Consider the following 21,149-nt stretch of genomic DNA (forward strand, 5'->3'; position numbering starts at 1 on the left):
TAATAGGTACATATATTTATGGGGTACATGAGATGTTTTGATATAGGCACACAATGCATAATAATCACATCATGGGAAATGGGGTATCCATCCCCTCAAGCATTTATGTTTTGTGTTATAAACAATCCAATTATACTCTTTTAGGTATTTTTAAATGTACAGTTAAATTATTTTGACTATAGTCACCCTTTTGTGCTATCATATACTAGGTATTCATAATTTTTTTCACTTTTCTTTTTGAATCTTTTCATAAGTTTATTGGGCATATATGTTTCCTCTTCTGTGAAATGCCATTGGTGCTTTTTTTCCCCATTATTATACTGGTTATTTGTGCTTTGTTAACAAAATTGATTTGTAGCAGTTCTACATATATTCTTGGTACTAAACCTTTGTGGTTGATATTATGAATATCTTGTCCCAGTTTTTACTTTGTCTTTTTACTTTTTAAAGGTATCTCTTGGTGAACAAATGTTCTTTATTTTGACATAGTTAAATTTATCATTTTATAGTCAACAATTTAAGTGCTTAAGAAAAACTTTAGCTGCGTGTATTAGTCCATTCTTGCATTGCTATAAAGAACTCCCTGAGAATGGGTAATTTATAAAGAAAAGAGGTTAAATGACTCACAGTTCTGCAGGCTGTACAGGAAACATGGTTGGGAAGGCCTCAGGAAACACAATTATGGTGGAAGGTGAAGGGGAAGCAGGAATATCTGCATATGGCCAGTAGGACAGAGAGAGAAGGGGATGGTACTACACACTTTAAATACAGAACTAGGGGGATGGTGCCAAACCACTAGAAACCACCTCTATGATCCAAGCACCTCCCACCAGGCCTCACCTCCAACATTTGGAATTACAATTCAAAATGAGATTTGGGTGGGGACACAGAGCCAAACCATATCACTACTCCAAGGTATAAAATAGTTACCTGTATTTTACTATAAATTATAAAGTTTCTTTTTTGACATTTAATTCCTGAATCTATCTAGGGTTATTTTTCGGATATAGTTTGAGAGAGATATTCAAGTTCATTTTTTCCCATATGAATAACTACTTTTTTCCACCTCCATTTGTTTATCAGCCTCCTCTCCTCACTGACCTCCTGTATCCTCTGTAATAAACCAACATTCTTTATTTGCATCCATCTTTTTCTGGGATCTTATTCATACCCCATGGTCTGTTTTTCTGTCTCTGCACCAAAACTACAGGGTTTTAATTGCTCCAGCCTCATAAAAGTCCAGACATCAATAAGGGAAACCCCTGATCACTACCTTTTCAGAAACATCCTATTTTTGGTCTTTTATGCTTTCACATAAGTTTAGAATCATTTTTTCAGGTTCTATTTTTAAAAAAATTATTAGGAATTTGACAAGAATTGCACTGAATATATAGATCAAATTACACTATTAAATTATATAATCCATGAACACAATATCTCTCTCCAATTACTTAGCCCTTTTTAATATCTCTTAAAGTTTTACACTTTTCCTTCTAGAGGTCTTGAAAATGTGTCCATTGTTAGGTTTATTCTAGGAGACTTGATATTTTAATTTTTTTTTTTTTTTTTGAGGAAGGGTCTTATTTTGTCATCCGGGCTGGAGTGCAGTGGTACGATCATAGCTCACCACAGCTTCGAACTCCTAGGTCCAAGTGATCCTCCTACCTCACCCTCCTGAGTAGCTGGGACTATAGGCACATGCCACTGTGCCCCACTAGATACCTGATGTTTTCTGATGCTGTTGTAAAGAATATTGTCTTTTAGCCTGGGCACAGTGGCTCATGCCTGTAATCCCAGCACCTTGGGAGGCTGAGGTGGGCGGATCACTTGAGATCAGGAGTTCTAGACCAGCCTGGCCAACATGGTGAAACCCCGTCCCTACTAAAAAAAAAAAAAAAATACAAAAATTAGCCATGTGTGGTGGTTTACACCTGTAATCCTAGCTACTCAGGGGGCTGAGGCACGAGAATTGCTTGAACCCGGAAGGCAGAGGAGGTTGCAGTGAGCTGAGATAGCGCCACTGCACTCCAGCCTGGGTGACAGAGTGAGACTCTATCTCAGAATTAAAAAAAAAAAATATTGTCTTTTAATTAAACTTTCTAGCTGTTTGATGTATGTAAATTTTATATCTTCACTAAATTTAATTGTTCTTAATCATTTGTTTATGGATTTTGGGCATTTTCTATATAAGCAGTCATACCTTATGTGGGTGATAATGGTTTCTTTCCCTCATAAGATGATTTTAAAAGTGAATGGGGTTATATAAACAAAGCAAACAACACAGTGGTTGGCAGCTAGTCAGTGCTCAGTAAATGCTTGTGACTACTGATATTATCGTCATTACTCATTAACAGAAGAATTTTAGAAATTTCTTTAACAAATTCCTTCATGTTGAAGAAAGAAACAGAGGCCCAGAACAAGTCCATGATTTGCCTGGGATGACATGACAACTCAATGCCAGGACTGCACCTGGAAAACCTGGGTCTTTGGGCTACAAAGTCAAGTGCCCTTTCTTTTAATCCCCAACAAATGCAGGCTTCTGTCTGGCATAAACTTTTGCAATTGTAGTGTTTACATGAATGGGGCTTTCTGGCACATCCATGAAAAAAAATCTATTAAATCAGCAGCATGAATTAAGCTCTTTCTGTGTGCTGGGCTTCCCACATTGCACACGCTTCTAGCAGAGGAAGAATTTACACCCTGCAACTCAGAGGGGCAGAAAATGATAATTTATTTCCTTTTAAATATTCTCTATATGGATCTCATCATTTCCTGTTGATGGCAGAGGAAGGAGGGAGAACCTTAAACTTGCCCATTGAAAGCAACTTAGACTCTTTTGGTCTAACTCACTTTCTTTTGGGTAAATACACAGTTAAATAAAAATTAAGATTTCCTTCTCAAAGGATGTCTCTTCACTCTCTATGTCCCAGGTTGGCAGCTGGAAGAGGGAAACAATTATGGATTCTCACAGTGTGGAGTGGTGCCTCTGAACTCATCCTGCCTTTGAGACATAGCAGGTGCTGATTGAGCTGGGCCTGGCCTGATCATGTCTTTGAGCATCCAATTCTGGGGCCACTAGGTCTAGCTGTCTCTGCTGGTGCTTTGGGACCTCCACTGCTCAGATCTTCCTGGCCCCAAAGATCTCTAAATCTCAGCTTTGTCTGTCATCTGTCTCTAGGCTCTGCAAAGGTGACCTCTCAGCAGTCTGGCTCGCAGCTACACCCTCTGGGGGCACGTAGAACACTGAGACCCCTTTCTGGCCACAGTGTAGCAGAGGAAGAGGCAGGCTGTGGGGCACATGTGAGGTATTCTCAGATACTAGCTCAGCCTTAACTTCTCTCATCTTCTCTTCTCTCTGCATCCCTCCCTCCCCAACTTGCCTCTTGGCCAGAAGAGTGTCTCCTTCCTGTTGGGTGGGGTTTCCCTAACTTGATGTCCTCTGTCTTCTCTTTATTCAGGCTTATAGCAAGCTCCACAGTCACACTGGCAAGGCCTAGCTCTTTGAAGATGAAGGGAACTTTCAGAATCTAGAATAATGTGTGTCCTCTTTCAACAAAACTTGACATTGGAAACCTGTTTCTCCATGGCCTCTAAAAATGTCAGTTTTGGCATGCAAATATTTTCTAAATATTATCCCAATTACCCATGGTTATGGCTGCCTTTGGGATTATGATGAAGACTGTAGTTGTGTAGAACATGTCATGCTCCTGACTCCCCTCTCGGGATATGGAGGCCACTGTCTTTGTGAGTGGATGGAGCTCCTTCCTCTGTCCATCTCTTAACTAATGAAAGCCAGGTCTGTCTGTTCTCAGCAGTCTTTCTCTGCCTAGCCACTGTACAGGACACTGTCACTAACACGTCCTCAAGGAATGACCTCTGACTTCTGGCCTGAAGATCTCTGTGGCCTCTATTCAACCTTTATTGAGAGCTTATTATGGTTACAGCTCTGTGCTCGTGAGAACCCAGAGAGAGCGAGACAGAATTGTCTTCAAGCTGCTCAAAGAGTAAAATCCATGCATAAAGACCTGGCTGTATCACAGCTGTGCTTATGATATTAGCAAAATCCAGTACAACTAGGAAGAACATGTACAGAGAAGGAAGGAAAGGCAAAACTGTTGGGTCTAGTTTTCTTGGTTCCTACATGAAAGAAGGCTGGGCAATATTTACCCTCGATAAAGTTCATTATGCCTTGGGTATAGTAAAAATCTGAAGTTTTGCCTCTGTAGACCACTATTCTGCCAGGGCTGGGTGCCAGAGTGTATTTTACAATGCTGACGCCTGTCCGAGACAGTGGGTTGTGGTTTCTGTTCCACTCTCCAATGCACTTTTGGGAAGGCAGGTGACTGGGATGGACCTGCTCTAGTCATCAAATGTGGCAGGCCCACTTTCCATTGCCAACAAAAGTTAAGTAAATTAAATAGGGCCCCAAAGGAGCTCTCTAGGAGTTGGTGTATCATGAAATGTGAAGTGGGCTTGCCCCTATGCAAGAACTAAAAGAAACACAATTTAGTTATCTTTGGCTTCTGAGGCATCGGCAGAGTTTTCTGCTGCCAATATGAGATTTCAGTGGAGAGTAGGGTTTCCCAAATCATGTTGAAACGTGACATTGTTTTCCTTAGGCCCACAGGGCCTTGGCCTGACACTGAGCATGTATTCGTGTGTGCACACACGACTGACCACTTTCTGCACGCTTCTTACACATCCGCCATGTGTCCGCCTCAGCCAGTGGAAGCCCTGTGCCACTCTTGAGATGCAGGTGGCTGTTTCTTGCTGCTGTCACTGTTACTGCTGCTGCCGCTTGCAGCCTAATTCCTCGCTGGTTTCAAAATGTGTCTCAGAGATTTCCCCAAATCCATTTCTCCAAATTCTGAGTTGTTCATCCATGGATAACAACAGGATGGCATGGATGTAGGCACTGGTAAAGAAGCACAGAAGCATGTACTGAGGGTGTTAATTCTGAACATGGAGAGACTGCATGTTCTGAAACACATCTTAGCATTTCTGTGTCCACATATGTGTATTGCATTTCAAGCATTTTTATTATTATTATTATTATTTTTGCTGGGTCGTGTCAATAGAACTGACAGCATCCTGTGACCATATCTTCACCTTTAGTGCTTTCTAAGTAAAACTCAGTGTCTTAATATAGCCAAAGGGAAGAAAATCCTAGTGAGAGAATGAACTTTTTCTGACATTCCTGGTTGGTGAAATGCAATCCTCTTTTCCTGGCATTTGGTGAGGATAATTGAATTTATGTCTGGTAACTAAGGGGATGCTCGGGAGCCTCAGGAACCATGAGCAGGAATGAGGATGGTCAGAAAGCACATTGGGTTATGTGGATTCAGTGACACAAACCCCAAGAAACCTGGTGGCTTTTGGCACTGCATGTGATTAGAGACAAATGATCTATTTTCATCTTCTGGAAAAATCAATAAATACATATATAAAAGAGTGCCTTCAAGTCCTTTGAGCTATTAAGAATAGCTAACGTTTTGATTGCTTATTGCATGTCTATTGCTGTTCTAAAGGCTACATATGTATTCACTCATTTCTTCTTATAACGTCCCTGTGTGGCCCACGGTCATGTTATTTTCATTCCCATTTTACAGATAAGAAAATGGAGGTCACGAGCTGGAGAACTCCTTGCTCAAGTTGCATAGCTAATAAGGGACTTAGCTGGGATTCCTGGCCAGCAATGTGGCTCCAGGCCTGGTTTCTAACTTCCCCTTCTTGGCAACCACCTTCACAGAGGAATGCAAGAGGTGAGTGGATTTGATGTGATATTTTATATCATGCCTATTTCTATCCACTTTCTCTGGAGTCCACTAAGATTAAAGAAGGAGAGAAATTCTCTAGTTCTACAGGAAGTGCGGGCTGTTTCCAGTGGGTCCTTGAAGTCCTTTGTCTGTTTCCAGTTTTTCCTTCAGGTCTTTTGAGCCCAGCTTCCCTCTGGCCAGCTCAGGCTCAGGGAGACGGGCATACACCGGTGGCCTGGGTGACAGTGTGCAGCTGATGAGCCACAGGACTTGGGCAGGCCATAGTGGGTCAGGAGAGACTGGACGCTTCGTCTTTTATGCTTCTGGGATTTCTGTTGTGGCTTCTGTTTTCACCGCATTTCAAATCCTTTAAGTTAGGTCATATGGGGAAAATGCTTGTGCTTCTCATTTATCTCCCTGGAGGCTAGCCTGGATCTCTGATGAGGAGGAGCACCAGGCCACTCCATAACCACCGGGCTGCAGGATCTCCAGGGCCACCCAGGAAGCCAAAATCAGAACAGAGCTCCTTGCTGTGGGGGCTTTGCTCACCCTAGTTCTGGGAGCCAGCCAGCTCTATCTTGGGGATATAACTTTCCAGGGACAAGAGATGCCTGATTTTGTGCAGACACCTGTGTCATGGAGAGTATTTCTTATGTTCCAAGCAGAGAAGTTCAAATTTACCAGTCTTCCTGTCACTCCACCCCCAAAATCTGGCGACCCCACTCAGCTGTTTTTCAGGGCCCACCCTCATGGCACCTTCTGGGGACTCCCTCTTTGCTACTGAGGTTGAGACCTAGCACTAGGTTTTGTGCTAGAAGCGCCTTGGGGGCAGAAACCCCCATATGCCAGCTGCCCAGGTCAGGACTGCATGTTTTCCTACTCACCGCCACCTTGCCTTGTATAGAAGAGGTGTGGCCACGTGCGGAATCCGCGGGCACAGGCAGCGAGGCCAATGAATGGTATCTTGCCTGCGGTCTGCTCTTGGGAAGGGTCCTCTAGTCCCGGTGTCCAGGGACCCACAGGCTACGTCACATAGTCTCCATGTCTTCTTGTGGGAAGGTACCGTGTGAGTCTTTTTAAAAAGTAATCTTAAAAGAGAACATCTTTGACTGGGCGCAGTGGCTCACGCCTGTAATACCAGCACTTTGGGAGGCCGAAGCAGGCAGATCACACGGTCAAGAGATCGAGACCATCCTGGCCAACACAGTGAAACCCCGTCCCTGTCGCTTGGAATCCCTGGAAGAAAGCAGAACCGAGAAGAGAAGCCCGGGTTTAACGCTGTGGTTTCTTTTTTGCAAGATAAAACCATGTGATTTAGATATATGCAAACAAATCTTGAGTTAAAGGAAACTGAGTTTCAAATTAGATAATTGTCTCTGAGAAAGGCATTCATATATCTCATATTTCATTTCTAACTTTTTATCATAGAACATCTTAAACATACACCAAAATAGAGAAAATTATAATGAGCTCCCATCTGTCACTTGCCTTCAACAATGATCAACTTATGGCCAATTATGTTTCAGCTACAACCCAATCTCGCCCCATTCTAATTTTTTTAAAGCATATCCTAAACATTGTATCATTTTATCTGTAAATATTTTAGTATATATCTCTAAATATATATGAACTCTTATTTTTAATAGACATAATCGTAATCATCATGATTTTAGGAAATGATTTTAATAAAAATCACACCCAATTCACGAAGTTAAAAAACCCTCCCAATATTCACACCCTTCTCATTACTCTTGGTTTTAAATGACTTTTCCTGTTGTTTGAAGCCTGCGTTGCAGTCTGACTCTGATCCTTCCAAAAACTGCTCCTAGAGAAGCTAGAGGTACACTCTGAGATTAAGCTACCTCAACTTCAAGCCTCTGGATTCTGGGAGGAGTTGAGTCCACCCTCTGATCTAGAGTTTCCAGGCATGGCTTTGTGAATGCACCTACCTTCTTCCCAGATTTTTGCCCGTCTGACCCTCTTACATGAGAACATCCCCATACATGGCTGTGGAAAATCCTCAAGTGCAATGAAGGCAAGACTGAAAACAGAGCCGCTGCCAAACAGAGCAGCAAGTTGAAGGGCAAGTGCCTGTCAACACAATCCCCTTGAAAGACTATAAAGAGCTGCCAAAACATGAGATGCATCTGACATCCAGATAGTATTAGCTGACTGCTTCCCAAATGGGTTAGCTGTCTACAGAAACGCCCTAGGTAGCTGATATGAATCGCAAATGTGCTGTGACTTGATTAATTTGTAACAGTCAGAAATTAGGTAGTTCAGTGCTAGTCATGCTCAAGCTTAGTAGTAGCTGGTTTAGTTGTTTTTTGTTTTTTGTTTTTTTCTGTGGGTAATTGGATCTAGGATGATAGTGTACCATCCCCCAGCAGTCATAGAAGACATGGTAAAAACTAGCTTTACACGGGTCCTGGACTTGAGGTCACGGGTGTGGAAGGTGATTCACTAGGGAGTTGGCTCTTAGCTTAGTGGGTCATGTATTTCTGAGAAGCTTCTTTCCTGAGGTTTACAGTCAGTTTCAGAGGTGAATGAACTGCTTCAGATGATCAGAAAGATACACTCTGTCATTATTCCCCCAAGAATAATCTTTGCTTCTGTAGTTACATTAAAGCTAAATTTTGCTGCCAGAGTAGGAGCCATCCATTATATTATAATCGATGACATGAATGTTTTGCTCAAGTTCAGATGTCTAATAAGAGTCATTTTCTTTCCGAGGGAGTGTTATCAGTTTCATGAATATGCGCTCTGTATTTCATTAGCATTCTTCTAGCAAAACATGATTCTGAGTCATTTCTGAAATATCTGCTCTCGCCTGCAACTTGTTTCTCAGTTTTTACAAAAATTGCCTTTTCTACTTACTGGCAGAAAAGTTTGATACCACACGAGCCTAAAATGGGTATGCTGAGAAAAAACACAGCACACCTATGGAACCGTGACCACAACAGTGCATCGGTCTCTGTCCCACCGTCTCATTCGAGGTTAATCCCTCTCCACAGGGCGGCACCTCAGCAGGGAAGGGCGAGTCTGAGGACTGAGGGTAAACAGTCATGACATGGGTATTCACTATCATGGCTTTCTTAGATTTTTAAGCCAGAATGAAGTTCAGAGAGCTTGTCAGAGGATGTTGAATGAACAGAAAAGGAAATTTGGAACCCATATGAAAAGAGCTGCTTTATGAATCACAGAGAGCTTTTGAGTTCCAGCTTACAGTAATTCAAATACCACTCACTTATATTCAACTGAGAGCAGCTCTGGCCCAGCCTTGTCCCCTGACCCCGGGGACACTTTCTCTAGGATGAACAAGAGAAGGTGTTCTCCACTGTACTAGCTGCCAGTGTGTTTCTTTCAACCAAGGAAGTATCCATGTCTCTTATTCTATGTCATTATTGTAAGAATGGTCTACCTTGATCCTTAGAAGCCAACCAGGATGGAGTCCCATTTTGCAGAGTCTGCTGTGACTGCCAGCCACCCCTGTACCATGGACTTCCACAGCAATGATGCTGTGCTGCATCTCCATCCAAAGGGATTGCATCTGTTTTAATTGCTTGACTTTCAAGGACACTCAGGGACAGGTACTCTTCCATAATTCTACGTCATCCCAGTTTCACAGGGGCGTGAATTCCCCATCCCCTGCAAGGTCTACTGCTCTCCAAAGTGTGTGTCTTTGAGATGGAGGCTCTTCACAGGGTTCACCACCTCTGCAAGTAGGGCTGTGACAACTCAGCCTTGTGCACTGCCACAAAAGGCCCTTCAAGAGCTTCTAGAAATTTCTGGCTCACAGAAGCCACTGGAATACTGTAAATGGAGTTGGTTTTGGTGGCTCTGTCCTTTGATGGGAGGCTCTGTCTCCTGAGGCCAAGATTGAAGGCAGGATCTGAAGATTGTGCGCCTGGATCAACTCTAATCCTTTCCAGCCCAAGAGAGTTGTTCTTGCTTCTTCTTGGACTGTTGTGAGAAACTTCCACACTGACTGCTTGGAAGTGTCACATGTTGGACCTCTTGGTACCAGTGTCTCTGACAGACTCATACCACTGGGAGCTCAGAGCGAGTGGCTGAGGCCAGCAGAGCTGAACACTTAGTGCCCTGTCCCTGCATTCTGTGGGATCAAGAATGAACTGGAAGTAGGATGCCGCCCTAGAGGAGGCACAGGTGCTACAGAGGCAGCTCAGCTCAGGAAGCGGACGTGAACCCCTTCCTACCCCCCATTAGTGCTGTGGCCATGAGGCCCCCTCACCTGAGGGGGAACACCTCTGTCAGCCTGGCTATCTGCCACCAACAAACACTTTTCCTGGGAAGGGGCCTGGATTCCTCCAGTTGAGCCTCCTTAGATGCACAGGTTGCACCAGGGTGGAGGCCACAGCCAAAACCAAACAGTGTAGCATGAACAGGCCAGGCTCCCAGAGTGGGAAGGGAGGACTGGCTGGAGGCAGCAGGAGGCTGGAGCCACATTTGCCTGCAAAAAGTCTTTTCAGACGCACATCTCAGGCCAGTTACGCAACTGGCTCCTGGATCCCTCTGCCCAGGCCCAGTCCCTCCCATTGCCTCTCAGTGTAAAGCAGGGAATGCTGCAGGATGGAGAGTCCTAAGCCTTAATCGTGGATCTTGGGATTCAGAGTCCAGAGAGGATAAAGAAGCAAATTCACAGTCAACACTTCCTTTTTTTGGATGTTTACCATAGTGAAGTTTTGTGCAAAGTGCTATGCGGACATGATCTGACACATCATGTTCCCCCACCCTCCCGGCCCAGGATCTGAAGGTCCAGCAGGAGAGGCAAGCCAATGCTAACCAAGGCTCAATCTGATACAGGGACACAGACTGCTCTGGACTTCCGTATATGCCTTTAAAAATATATATATATCTTTAGGCTGGGCGTGGCGGCTCACGCCTGTAATCCCAGCACTCTGGGAAGCCGAGGTGGGTGGATCACTTGAAGTCAGGAGTTGGAGACCAACATGGTGAAACCGCATTTATTTATTTTATATATATATAATTTTATTAATAAATACCCTGGAAGGACCTTGTTCCTTTAACGTGCTGGCACCTATAGCAGGGACCAAATTTGTACTTTTACAAACTGTCTGTACTGGTCTAAGGAGGAGCAGAGGCGCACATACAATAGCTGCTTATGCAGAATCACTGGAAAACAGGTGATTCCTGAACGTTGCTAGATGAATATAACTCAGAAATAACCCACAGCCTAGATTAGTAATCTGTGAAAGTTGGAGACCAAATGAAATTTGTTTAGCAATAAAATGCTTTTGAAGAGAATTTCTCTTTCTTTGATGTTCTTGCTCATTACTGTACACTCTAATGGTGTTGGGCTCAGAACTATTGCTCAATAGAGGTTTGATAAATGAATGCTCCAGAAGACACACAGAGGCTATCAGTGTGGTCGTTGTCAATGAGTGTCCCAGACATTAAATAAGAGCCTGCAATGCCTGAGAGCCATGCGCAGAGATCATGGGACTGACACCTGGGGAGAGGTTCTGAAGGGACCTAAGCACACAGACAGGAGGGAGGTGTCATCAGCAGATTCATCCAGCCCCATGTTTTGTAGATGAATAGTTCCAAGACACTTTTTAATAGTTATCCAATCCTGTATCTCCTGAGCATGCTCAGTGCCATAGAGCCTCAGTTTCCACATTTCCAAGCAGACTTTTCTGTTCTCTCATAAGCACATTTGAGAAAGGACTTGTTTCCCCTTGCTGTCATAAATGCCCTTGCTTTCAAGTTCAAGCCAAAAAGAAGCAGTGCAATTGTTCTTCAAGCTGATCCGGTGCAGAGGAACCGCAAATGCCAGCTCCAGCTATGGTTTCTAATTGAATATGACTTTCTTTGTAAATGCCTGTCCTTGCCCCCAGCAGCAAACTGACAACTAGGACTTGCCTTTGTGAGCTGAAATGATGTCGCTGATAACCAACAGCTTGTATTAATTTTTCCTGATAATCTCATAGTACTTTTAATGAGATTGGTGGCAAACATGCCATTCTGGGGCAAATTAATTTGTCCTTGCAAAACAGAGTGTCAGCGATTTTTATTTCCTTTGTCTGACGTGTAAATGGGTTGTTTCCAATGGCAATTGATACAACCTAGTATTTTCGGCTGCACTGAAGGGAGAACAAGATTTTGCCAAGAGCAACAAAATCAGCACAACCACAATTAAAGCAGATGATCGACATTTGGAAAATGGTCTGCTGATGTTTCTTCCTTCGTTTTCCATGCTGAAATAGGTTGTGATTTAGACAAGGGCCAAAGAGATGAACAAGGCAGCCAGCGGCTGCTCAGCCTCCATGTAGCCTGGTCATGGAGAAGCAAAATCGACATGAAATGTGACCCTCTCTCTTTTATGTGCTTTCACATGCTGTGGTCAGGAACCAAGTACTGTATTTGCATTCACTGCTCAGGCACTGTGCGGTGACCTGCTTTTATGCCACTTTGCATTGCTGAAGTGATGTGGGTGAAAACTGGAATCCTAGTTAGAAGGAAACATGGCATCCGACTCTTCCATTCTCTCATTTCCAATGTATTGTGTTGCCTCTCTCACCCGCCAAAGAAATGAAATGTGATTTTCTACCAGAGTTGGAAGAGTTTTGGCCACAATATAAGTCATTATGGCAGTTTCCATTTTCTTTGCTATACATTTTGAACAAGGAACCACAGTTCATGGAATTGCATTGAAAATTAACAGCTTTTTTTTTTCTTTTTTTTTTTTTGGCCAAGCTAGCCAGAAAGGAACTTGCATGAGAAATTCACTAATGCTAATGCAGTTTTTCAAGTGGTAATATTTCTAGAATTTTAATTAGGACTTTTTTTTTGCTTTGAAGGGTCCCATCACAGAAGAGAAAGGAATGCTAATATTTGTCTTTGATGGCCAGCAGGGTCCTGGAGGACATTAACGTTTTGCAAGCTGAATGAGGTCTTCCCACTGACACGAGCATAAAGAGCAGGTGGATTTAACAGCTTTCATTCCATTTTCTATTTAGTTTAATCAAGATACCAGTTAAGAACAAGGGGAGGCTGCTCCCAGAGCTTCTCTGTCCTTTTAGGGGTTGACCCTACTGGCTCGGCTGGCTGTGGATTAGACCACACCTGCTACAAATCAACAAATAATGAACTTCGGATGCTGAGAACCTGAAACACTACATAAAAGAGGGCATAAACAAACTCTTCTTTTTCAACATATGATGGGCGATTGAAGCGGTCAGTGGAAGATAGCTGTGCACAAGAATGTGGGCCTCCTCCCTTGAGCCAAGGTCTCAGTTTTATGATTCCTAACTTAGAGTTAAAAGAAGCAAGCCATACAGGTAAATGATTATCAGGCAGAGAGGCCTAGAATGCATTACAGTTATGCAAAACCTGGGTTTTTCATAGGTGTTTTTAATGTTGGTGTGAACAGTGGAGCCAAATAGCATCTTGTAGCCCCTACGTGGGCACGATTCTTTCCTGGGCGACACCGTCTGCATGCCCCATGGTGACATTCCTGTGCGCTTGCTACAGTTGGCTAGTAATCCTGGCTTTGAAGAAGGTTTTCCAGTGCCAATCACCATGTTCAAGACAATGTGTGGGCCAGTATTCTGGGTCATGCGTCTTCCCCAGGAGCTTTGGTTAAAGTGAGTTTGAGGAAAATATGGGTGCTCTCAGATGCTCACAGACCACGTGGATGTGAAATTTAGACTTTTATTTGGATGATAATAAAGACAGACTTTAAATGTTTTCAGAGTAACTGGACAGCTCTATCTGTCTCAATAACTGCAGGCAGTTCAAATTCAGCAGGAAACTACTCAGGTTCCTCCTAGCCCTGCCCCATTCTTTATAACATGGAAACCCTGATTCCCCCCGCCGAACACTTTCCTTCAGGTAGCAGGATTTTTGCTTCACCGTAAACACACCAGGATCACGGATGATGATAGCATTTATTGCTTGGAATAAAAAGTGATTTGCGGCCCTGTAAATAGGACAGCAAATAGTTTTGCTTTTGACCTAAGGCTCCCATGTCACTTCATGATTTCATTCATCTTCATATTCAAAAGAAGGATAAATAAACTGCTTTCCTGCTTAGTAGCTTGGTCATCTGAAATCCAGTATCTGACATCAATTCCCAGTGGGAGAAATTGTGCTTTGCTGCGTGTGTCTTAACTCAGTCTCTGATGTTCTGGTTCTGACTCAGGATGTTGGTGACAGCTGCACCACATATGCCACGTCTTTCATGCTAGACTAAGACCAGACATCTTTTCTGGTGCGCATGGAGTCACACTGTGACCTAGAAGACAGTGCTTTGAAATAATGACAAAGCACAGAGGCAAGGAATGAAGTTGACATTGCATACCAACGGCATCATCAAATTTGTCCTCAAATGTCACTGTGTAATGCTGAGTGATTTTTGGAATCTCCCTAGTTTCCCCCAAGCAAATTACATATCTTCATAGGCACATCGATATCAATGTTTTGAATGTAATATATTTTAATGAATATGTAAACATGTACAAATAAATATAATGAATATAACAAGTATGACTGTCCTATATGAGACATAGATATTTTCAATAAATGTATATTTATTATGAATATATATTTATAATATAAATATCAATACAATGTTGTTGAATGGGTGAATAAATCCTTTAAAGCAGCCTCAATGTTATAAGTAGTCACTGTGATTCATTCATCTCATACAAGCATTCTCTTTCTATGGATGTAATTAATACTTATGGCAAATTGACTTTTCTTGAGTCTCATGAAATAGAAAAATTCCTTTCTGACATTTTGACTATTCTAATATGGCACAATATTATAATTTTAGTGCATGTAATCTTTTCCACCCAGAAAATTGGCACTTTCTAAATTCCTGGTTTCTTATTTGAAAACAAAAAAGACAAAAATTATGACAAATACTACCAAATTAATATTTAAATTATATTTGAATGGCAAATTAATACTTAAAATTACATTGCTAAAAACTAATTCCAGATACGGAGCAAACTTAAATGAGAAAGATAAAACAATTTAAATTTTAGAAGAAAATATAGGAGGGCAACTTCATGATTTTGGCCAAGGCAAAGATTTCTTAATTAGGATGCCAAAAGCACCATTAAAAAAGTGGGTAAAATAAGGCATTGAAATAATATTGGGGGCTGGGCACGGTGGCTCATGCCTGTAATCCCAGCACTTTGAGAGGCCAAGGTAGGTGGATCACCTGAAGTCAAGAGTTCGAGGCCAGCCTGGCCAACATGGAGAAACCCTGTCTCTACTAAAAATAGAAAAATCAGTCAGGCATGGTGGTGCATGCCTGTAATCCCAGCTACTCGGGAGGCTAAGGCAGGAGAATCACTTGAGTCTGGGAGGCGGAGGTTGCAGTGAGCAGAGATTGTGCCACTGCACCCCAGCCTGGGACAGAGGGAGACTCTCTCGAAATAATAATAATAATAATAATATTGGGTACAGATAATAATTTCCTCCACATGTGTGAAAAAGAAGGTTATGAGAATCAGAAAGCAGGAATTTAGACAATATGTAGGGGCAGCAGATTTCCCTTGTTTTGTAAAACAGGCCTCAGAGAGGAGTATCAACTTGCAAATAGGTCAAAAACCCTTTGAGGGAAGGAAGTTTCTGGGCAGCAGAAGCTTTACCACCATCCACTGTCACATGGATAGGGATTGCAACATACTGGCCCTTCACTAATAACATCTCGTCCCATTTGGATGGCAACCCTGTGAAGTACATATGATCATGCTAGGGAAACTGAGGTTGAGTGAGGCCTGGTGCCATGCCCGAAGTTGGGCTGCTGTCCAGTGGTAAGGCACGGGCTAGCTGTGTCAGCCCTAAAGGGCACCCCACTACATATCCCCAAGATACAGGCCACGGGGCTGCACCCTCAGCCACGGCCCAGCGTCCCCAAGGCTCAGCATGAGTTTGCATCTGCTCCTTCCCTAGGAAGTCATTTATTTACATAAATGACTAATGATCCTGGGCAAGGGCTCCTGTTGGGCCACATGTTCTGCTTTTTAAAATTCAGAGCCTAGGTCAACTGTTTGATAGAAAAATGAAAACATAATGTAAATTCTAAATAAAGCTGATATGCAAAGAAACTGCCCTGTTAACTTACCTTACTTGTAGATCATATTTTCGGTGGAAGTCTGTTCAGTTTAAAGATAAACATGACATGATTAGAGGAGAAAGAGGATAGCCCCTCCCTTTAAGCTCCAAGATAATTCAAGACATCAGTTAACTATTGAGCGATTAGAGAAGGTGTTTTGGGAGCTGACCTTGACCTAGTATTCTCAAATCTCCTTCCCCTCCATAAGGCCTGGTATACTTCATGTTGCTGGCAGTCAACATCTGTCTGGCTTATGAAGAACGAGATAATCACACTCATTTTGGGGCCTCAGGCTATGAGCACCTGAGTGTGTTAATATCAATTAAAAACCCCAGTACCCATCTGTTGAGGTCAGGACTATTAAAAGTCAGGCGTGGCTGGGCGCAATGGCTCATGCCTGTAATTCCAGCACTTTGGGAGGCTGAGGCCGGTGGATCTCTTGAGCTTAGGAGTTCAAGATCAGCCTGGGCAACATGATGAAACCCTCTCTACTAAAAATACAAAAAATTAGCCAGGTGTAGTGGTGGGCACCTGTAGTCCCAGCTACCCAGGAGGCTGAGGTGAGAGAATCACCCGAGCCCCAGAGGATGAGGTTGCAGTAAGCCATGATCGTGCCACTCCACTTCAGCCTTGGTGATGGGAGTGAGACCTTGTCTCAAAAAAAAAAAAAAAAGAAAAAGAGTCACGAGTCAGGAGTCAGGTGTAAATGCCTGTATATCAGACTGTATTTTAGAAATTTGCTTTTAAAAGTTACCCTTGTGACTGAGACTCAAAAAGAAACTTCCAGGATGAATGTTCAAGCTTTTTTTTTACTTAATAAAAATACAGCTTTAAGGCTGGGCATGGTGGCCCATGCCTATAATCCCAGCACTTTGGGAGGCCAAGGTGGGAGGATCATTTGAGGTCAGGAGTTCAAGACCAGCCTGGCAAACGTAGTAAAACCTCGTCTCTACTAAAAATACAAAAATTAGCCAGGCACAGTGGCATGTACCTGTAACCCTAGCGACTCAGGAGGCTGAGGCAGGAGAATGGCTGAAACCCGGGAGGTGGAGGTTGCAGTGAGCCAAGATCACGCTATTGCACTCCAGCCTGGGTGACAAAGCCAGACTCTATCTAAAAAAAAAAAAAACAAAAAAAAACAAGTAAAACAAAAAATTTTGCCTGTGATACGATAATGAGTTTCTTTTAAAACTTCTGAGATTAGTGTCTTAGAGATTTAACTGTTGTGTTTTGCTGCTTTCAGCTTGTTCTCCCTTTAAAAAGGCCTGGGATCATTGCTGTCTCCTTTTCCTTTTTCATCAGCTCCTGTGACGTTTTCATCTCAACACTTTGGGAGGCTGAGATGGGCGGATCACTTAGGCCAGGAGTTCGAAATCAGCCTTGCCAACATAGCAAAACCATATCTTTACTAATATTACAAAATTAGCTGGGCATGGTGGTACATGCCTGTAATCCCAGCCACTCAGGAGGCTGAGGCATGAAAATAGCTTGAAAACTGGAGGCAGAGGTTCCAGTGAGCCCAGCCAAGATTGTGCCACTGCACTCTAGCCTGGGCAACAGAGCGAGACTCCATCTCAAAGAAAAAACAACAACAACAACAACAACAACAACAAAATGATCCCCCAAGAATCAATAATAACCAGAATAAGGAGCCATTATCAGATATTCTTTATTACTCTTAATTACTGTTAGGCTTCAGGAAGCCACTAGTTGGGTACAGCTGCCCAGGACTAAACCTGTTTCTTACAAGGTCCTACAGCCACAAAAGGTGGACACCACAACCTCCATTTATAAAACAGAAAACTTAAGGCTGTTGTTTTGCAAACACATAGATTAATAACATGGTTCTGTAGGTGGACCTAGGAGCATTAATTTTTCCCTCTCTTCCAATTATAATTTTCTTGTTTAACATCCTAGTAAAGTTTATGTCTTCTAAATTTCATGTAAAGATGATACGGTCTGTCATAAGTCTTCCAACCCATTCTGTCTTCTGACCCCACAAATGAATGCATCGTGCCATTGGGCCCCTTAGTTCAGGTACCAAAGATTTTTACTCCTCAAAGGCTAGGGAAGGCCTGCCCCCATAAAGTCAGCAGGAAGCACTTACAGAAAAGGGACTCTGCTCTTCTGCAGTCCCCTTAAGATTAAGGAGGAGTATCGAATCTCTGAGGGAGCAATGAGATAGGAGGTAGGTGGGACTCAACCCAGGACCAGATTGAAGACTGGCTGACACAAGGAAGAGACACTGGAAGCACCTGTCCATAACACATGCCCACCAGTGCCATATCAGTTTACCATTGCCATGGCAACACCTGAAAGTTATTGCCCATTTTCTAGCTATTTCTGAATAACCCACTCCTTTATTAGCATGTCATTAAAACTGGGGATAAATATGAGTGCAAAACTGCCCCTACGCTACTGCTCTTGGCACAATGCCTATGTGGTAGCTCTGTTTCACAAGAACAGTCACAAAGCTGTAACACTGCCACCTCAGTAAAGCTGTTTTCTTCTACCACCAGCTTACGCTGCATTCCTTCCTGAGTGAAGCCAAGAACCTGCCCTGCACCACTTTTGTCAAGTCAGTTGACATAAAATTACTCATAATATCCTCTCTTTATTTTTTGACTCCTGTAGGCTGTGTAATGACTTCTTCCTTTCCATTTATGATATTGTGTTTTGTGTCATTTTTCTTTCCCTCTTCTTTTTTTTTGAGACAGATTCTTGTTCTGTCACCCAGGCTGGAGTGCAGTGGTGCAATGTTGGCTCACTGCAACCTCCGACTCCCCAGTTCATGCCATTCTCCTGCCTCAGCCTCCCGAGTAGCTGGGACTCCACCACGCCCAGCTAACTTTTTTGTATTTTTAATGGAAATGGGGTTTCACCATGTTAGCCAGGATGGTTTTGATCTCCTGACCTCGTGGTCCGCCCGCCTTGGCCTCCCAAATCTTTCCCTCTTCTTTATACACCCTTCATCAAGTAGTCACAGGTTTCAATTCAGTTCTTTCTTGGTGGTAGTATGGCTCATGAAAAAAGCTGATTCTTCTGTGTTTGAGGCCATTCACCATGTTTATATGTAATACTGTAAAAAGTCCTGTGACATAAGCCTCTGCTTCACAAACTGACCGCTGTCAAACATCATCTCCCCACCAATAGATAATTTTTTTGTTCCTCACCAGTATAATTCACATAGGAGTAGAAATCTCAAGTTTAAAGTGTGGATTTGCACTTTACCACTTGGTGTATTCAAGAAGATGAATAATATTAATACATCAGTAGGGCCAGGCGCAGTGGCTCAATCCTACAATTCCAGCACTTTGGGAGGCCGAGGCAGGCAGATCACCTGAGGTCAGGAGTTTGAGACCAGCCGGGCCAACATGGCAAAACCCCGTCTCTACTAAAAATATGAAAATTAGCTGGGTATGTTGGCACACACCTGTAATCCCAGCTACTTGGGAGGCTGAGGCAGGAGAATTGCTTTAAATTGAGAGATGGAGGTTGCAGTGAGCCAAGATTGTGCCACTGCACTCCAGCCTGGGTGACAGAGTGAGATTCTATCTCCAAAAAAAAAAAAAAAAAAATCAGTAGCTTTGAATTTTAAACATCTATTTGACAAGAAATTCACAGTTCTTTCTCTCTTAAATAACGTAATAATTCTTTCAGTAATGAGCCTGGTTTGATGCCTCTCTCCCCAACATGATAAAAGTATCACATAAATCTATGAAAAATTCAATTTCCCTGTTCCTACAACTGTCTGGGATGGAAAACTTCTTCCCTTGCTCTAGTCCTTTCTTCTACACCTAGTTTCACCTAATCTGTGACTCAAAACAATACTTGTCAGGAAACATTCTGGAAAGAGCAAAAGGCTTCTAAGAGGTGTCAGAGATTCCTGGACCAACATCTGTCCATCTCTAGAGGGGGTTGTGAGTATGAGGAAGAGCAGAGCTTGTAAATCTTCTCCTTGCTTTCACTCCCACTGTATTTCCTAACAACAACAACCACAACCACATAATATCATAGAACAAGCATCTACTACTTCCAAGGCTTTGGTCTCAGTAAATCTTCTCTACCTCTATCACAGCATCTAGAAGGTTTGATACTCATACAAATAGTGCTGTAGCTTTCTTTTCATAACTGGAAAAGTGGGCAAGACTCAGTGTAATGCAGGCATTCCTTAAGCTACTTAGCATTCAGTTTTTAGATTATCATTGCACACATATACCCAGCATATGTCTAATATACATGTAAAAATCCATGAAGCAAGTGTTATATTAGCTTGTGTTTTCTATTGTATTAAATTTTTCTCTTATATCGTCTTCTCCTTTTTGTCATTAAAAATCTGTTCAAGTCAGTCAATTAATTATTGGATCATAAGTAGATAAAGTCTTTTATTTCATAACACATTGACTCAATGAATATGTTTCTTTGCAAGACACAGTCCTCATTTCCAAGAAAACAAGCCTGAAAAGATTATACTGGAGCAAGTCTACAAGTAATGATGGTAGTTTTTCCTTATTGTCAGTCCTGGGGCAAGAATAACATAAAAGATAACAAGGTAGAATAAAGATTACATAAGAAAGAAGGACAGCAACAGGACATGGGAACTATTTATAGGGTAACATTTAAATAATGGATGATGAGAAGTAATGCGTTAGACAGGGATGGATGGGAATGATTGAAGGTCTGAGTACTTTAGCACAGATTAAGATCAAATCATTAGGATTTTAAGAGTTGTGTACAGTTACTGAAGAAAATGCCTTAGAATTTAATTTGACTGTGGATAAAACATTCTTGGATTAGATTTAAGACTATTTTCCATGGTAAGTATATTTATAATGATGATGACTGTAGTGCTGAACATTTAAACAATGAAAACAAAATTAATTGCCACACACATAATGTCCTGAATACTACTGTAAATGTTTTATCTTATTTTCTTTAAACTGTCTACAGCACTGTAAGGCAGGTACCACTATTGTCACAGTTACACAGATATGGAAACCGAGACACAGGGAAGTTAAGTTACTTGATTAATTTCAAGCAATCGGGAAGCCATGGAGCATCTATGTCAGGGCTGCCAGGACATGTGACTGTAAACAGAAGTTTTTAACTCAAAGAGGGTATGTGTCTGGGTTAATGGAAAGCTTCAGGACCCTCAGAAAACATTACTAATAAGCAAATGAAAGGTGTATCTGGGCCGGGCGCGGTGGCTCATGCCTGTAATCCCAGCACTTTGGGAGGCCGAGGTGGGTGGATCACCAGGTCAGGAGATCGAGACCACCCTG

The 21,149-nt window shown here is 42.5% G+C and overlaps 2 long non-coding RNA genes across 3 annotated transcripts in view; one reads left to right on the forward strand and one right to left on the reverse strand.

Moving 5' to 3' along the window:
• The window catches only part of LOC107985908 (uncharacterized), a 66,991-nt gene extending 61,314 nt beyond the window's left edge, over window positions 1-5,677 (forward strand). Inside the window, exon 3 of the long non-coding RNA XR_001739577.3 lies at window positions 5,610-5,677. This is a non-coding gene — a long non-coding RNA (uncharacterized LOC107985908). The remainder of the gene's footprint in view (window positions 1-5,609) is intronic.
• On the reverse strand, window positions 2,715-10,052 carry LOC105374848 (uncharacterized). Of its 2 annotated transcripts, XR_940324.3 has the most exons (3): window positions 7,706-10,041; window positions 6,641-6,992; window positions 2,715-4,915 (listed from the first exon to the last, which is right to left on the reverse strand). It is a non-coding gene; the product is annotated as an uncharacterized LOC105374848 (long non-coding RNA). The 2 variants fall into 2 exon arrangements; XR_007087123.1 differs by having other exon boundaries at window positions 2,715-6,992; window positions 7,706-10,052.
• Window positions 10,053-21,149: the final 11,097 nt, after the last annotated feature.

The sequence above is a fragment of the Homo sapiens genome, chromosome 2, assembly GCF_000001405.40.
Source record: "Homo sapiens chromosome 2, GRCh38.p14 Primary Assembly".
In the NCBI taxonomy this organism is placed as follows: Eukaryota; Metazoa; Chordata; class Mammalia; order Primates; family Hominidae; genus Homo; species Homo sapiens.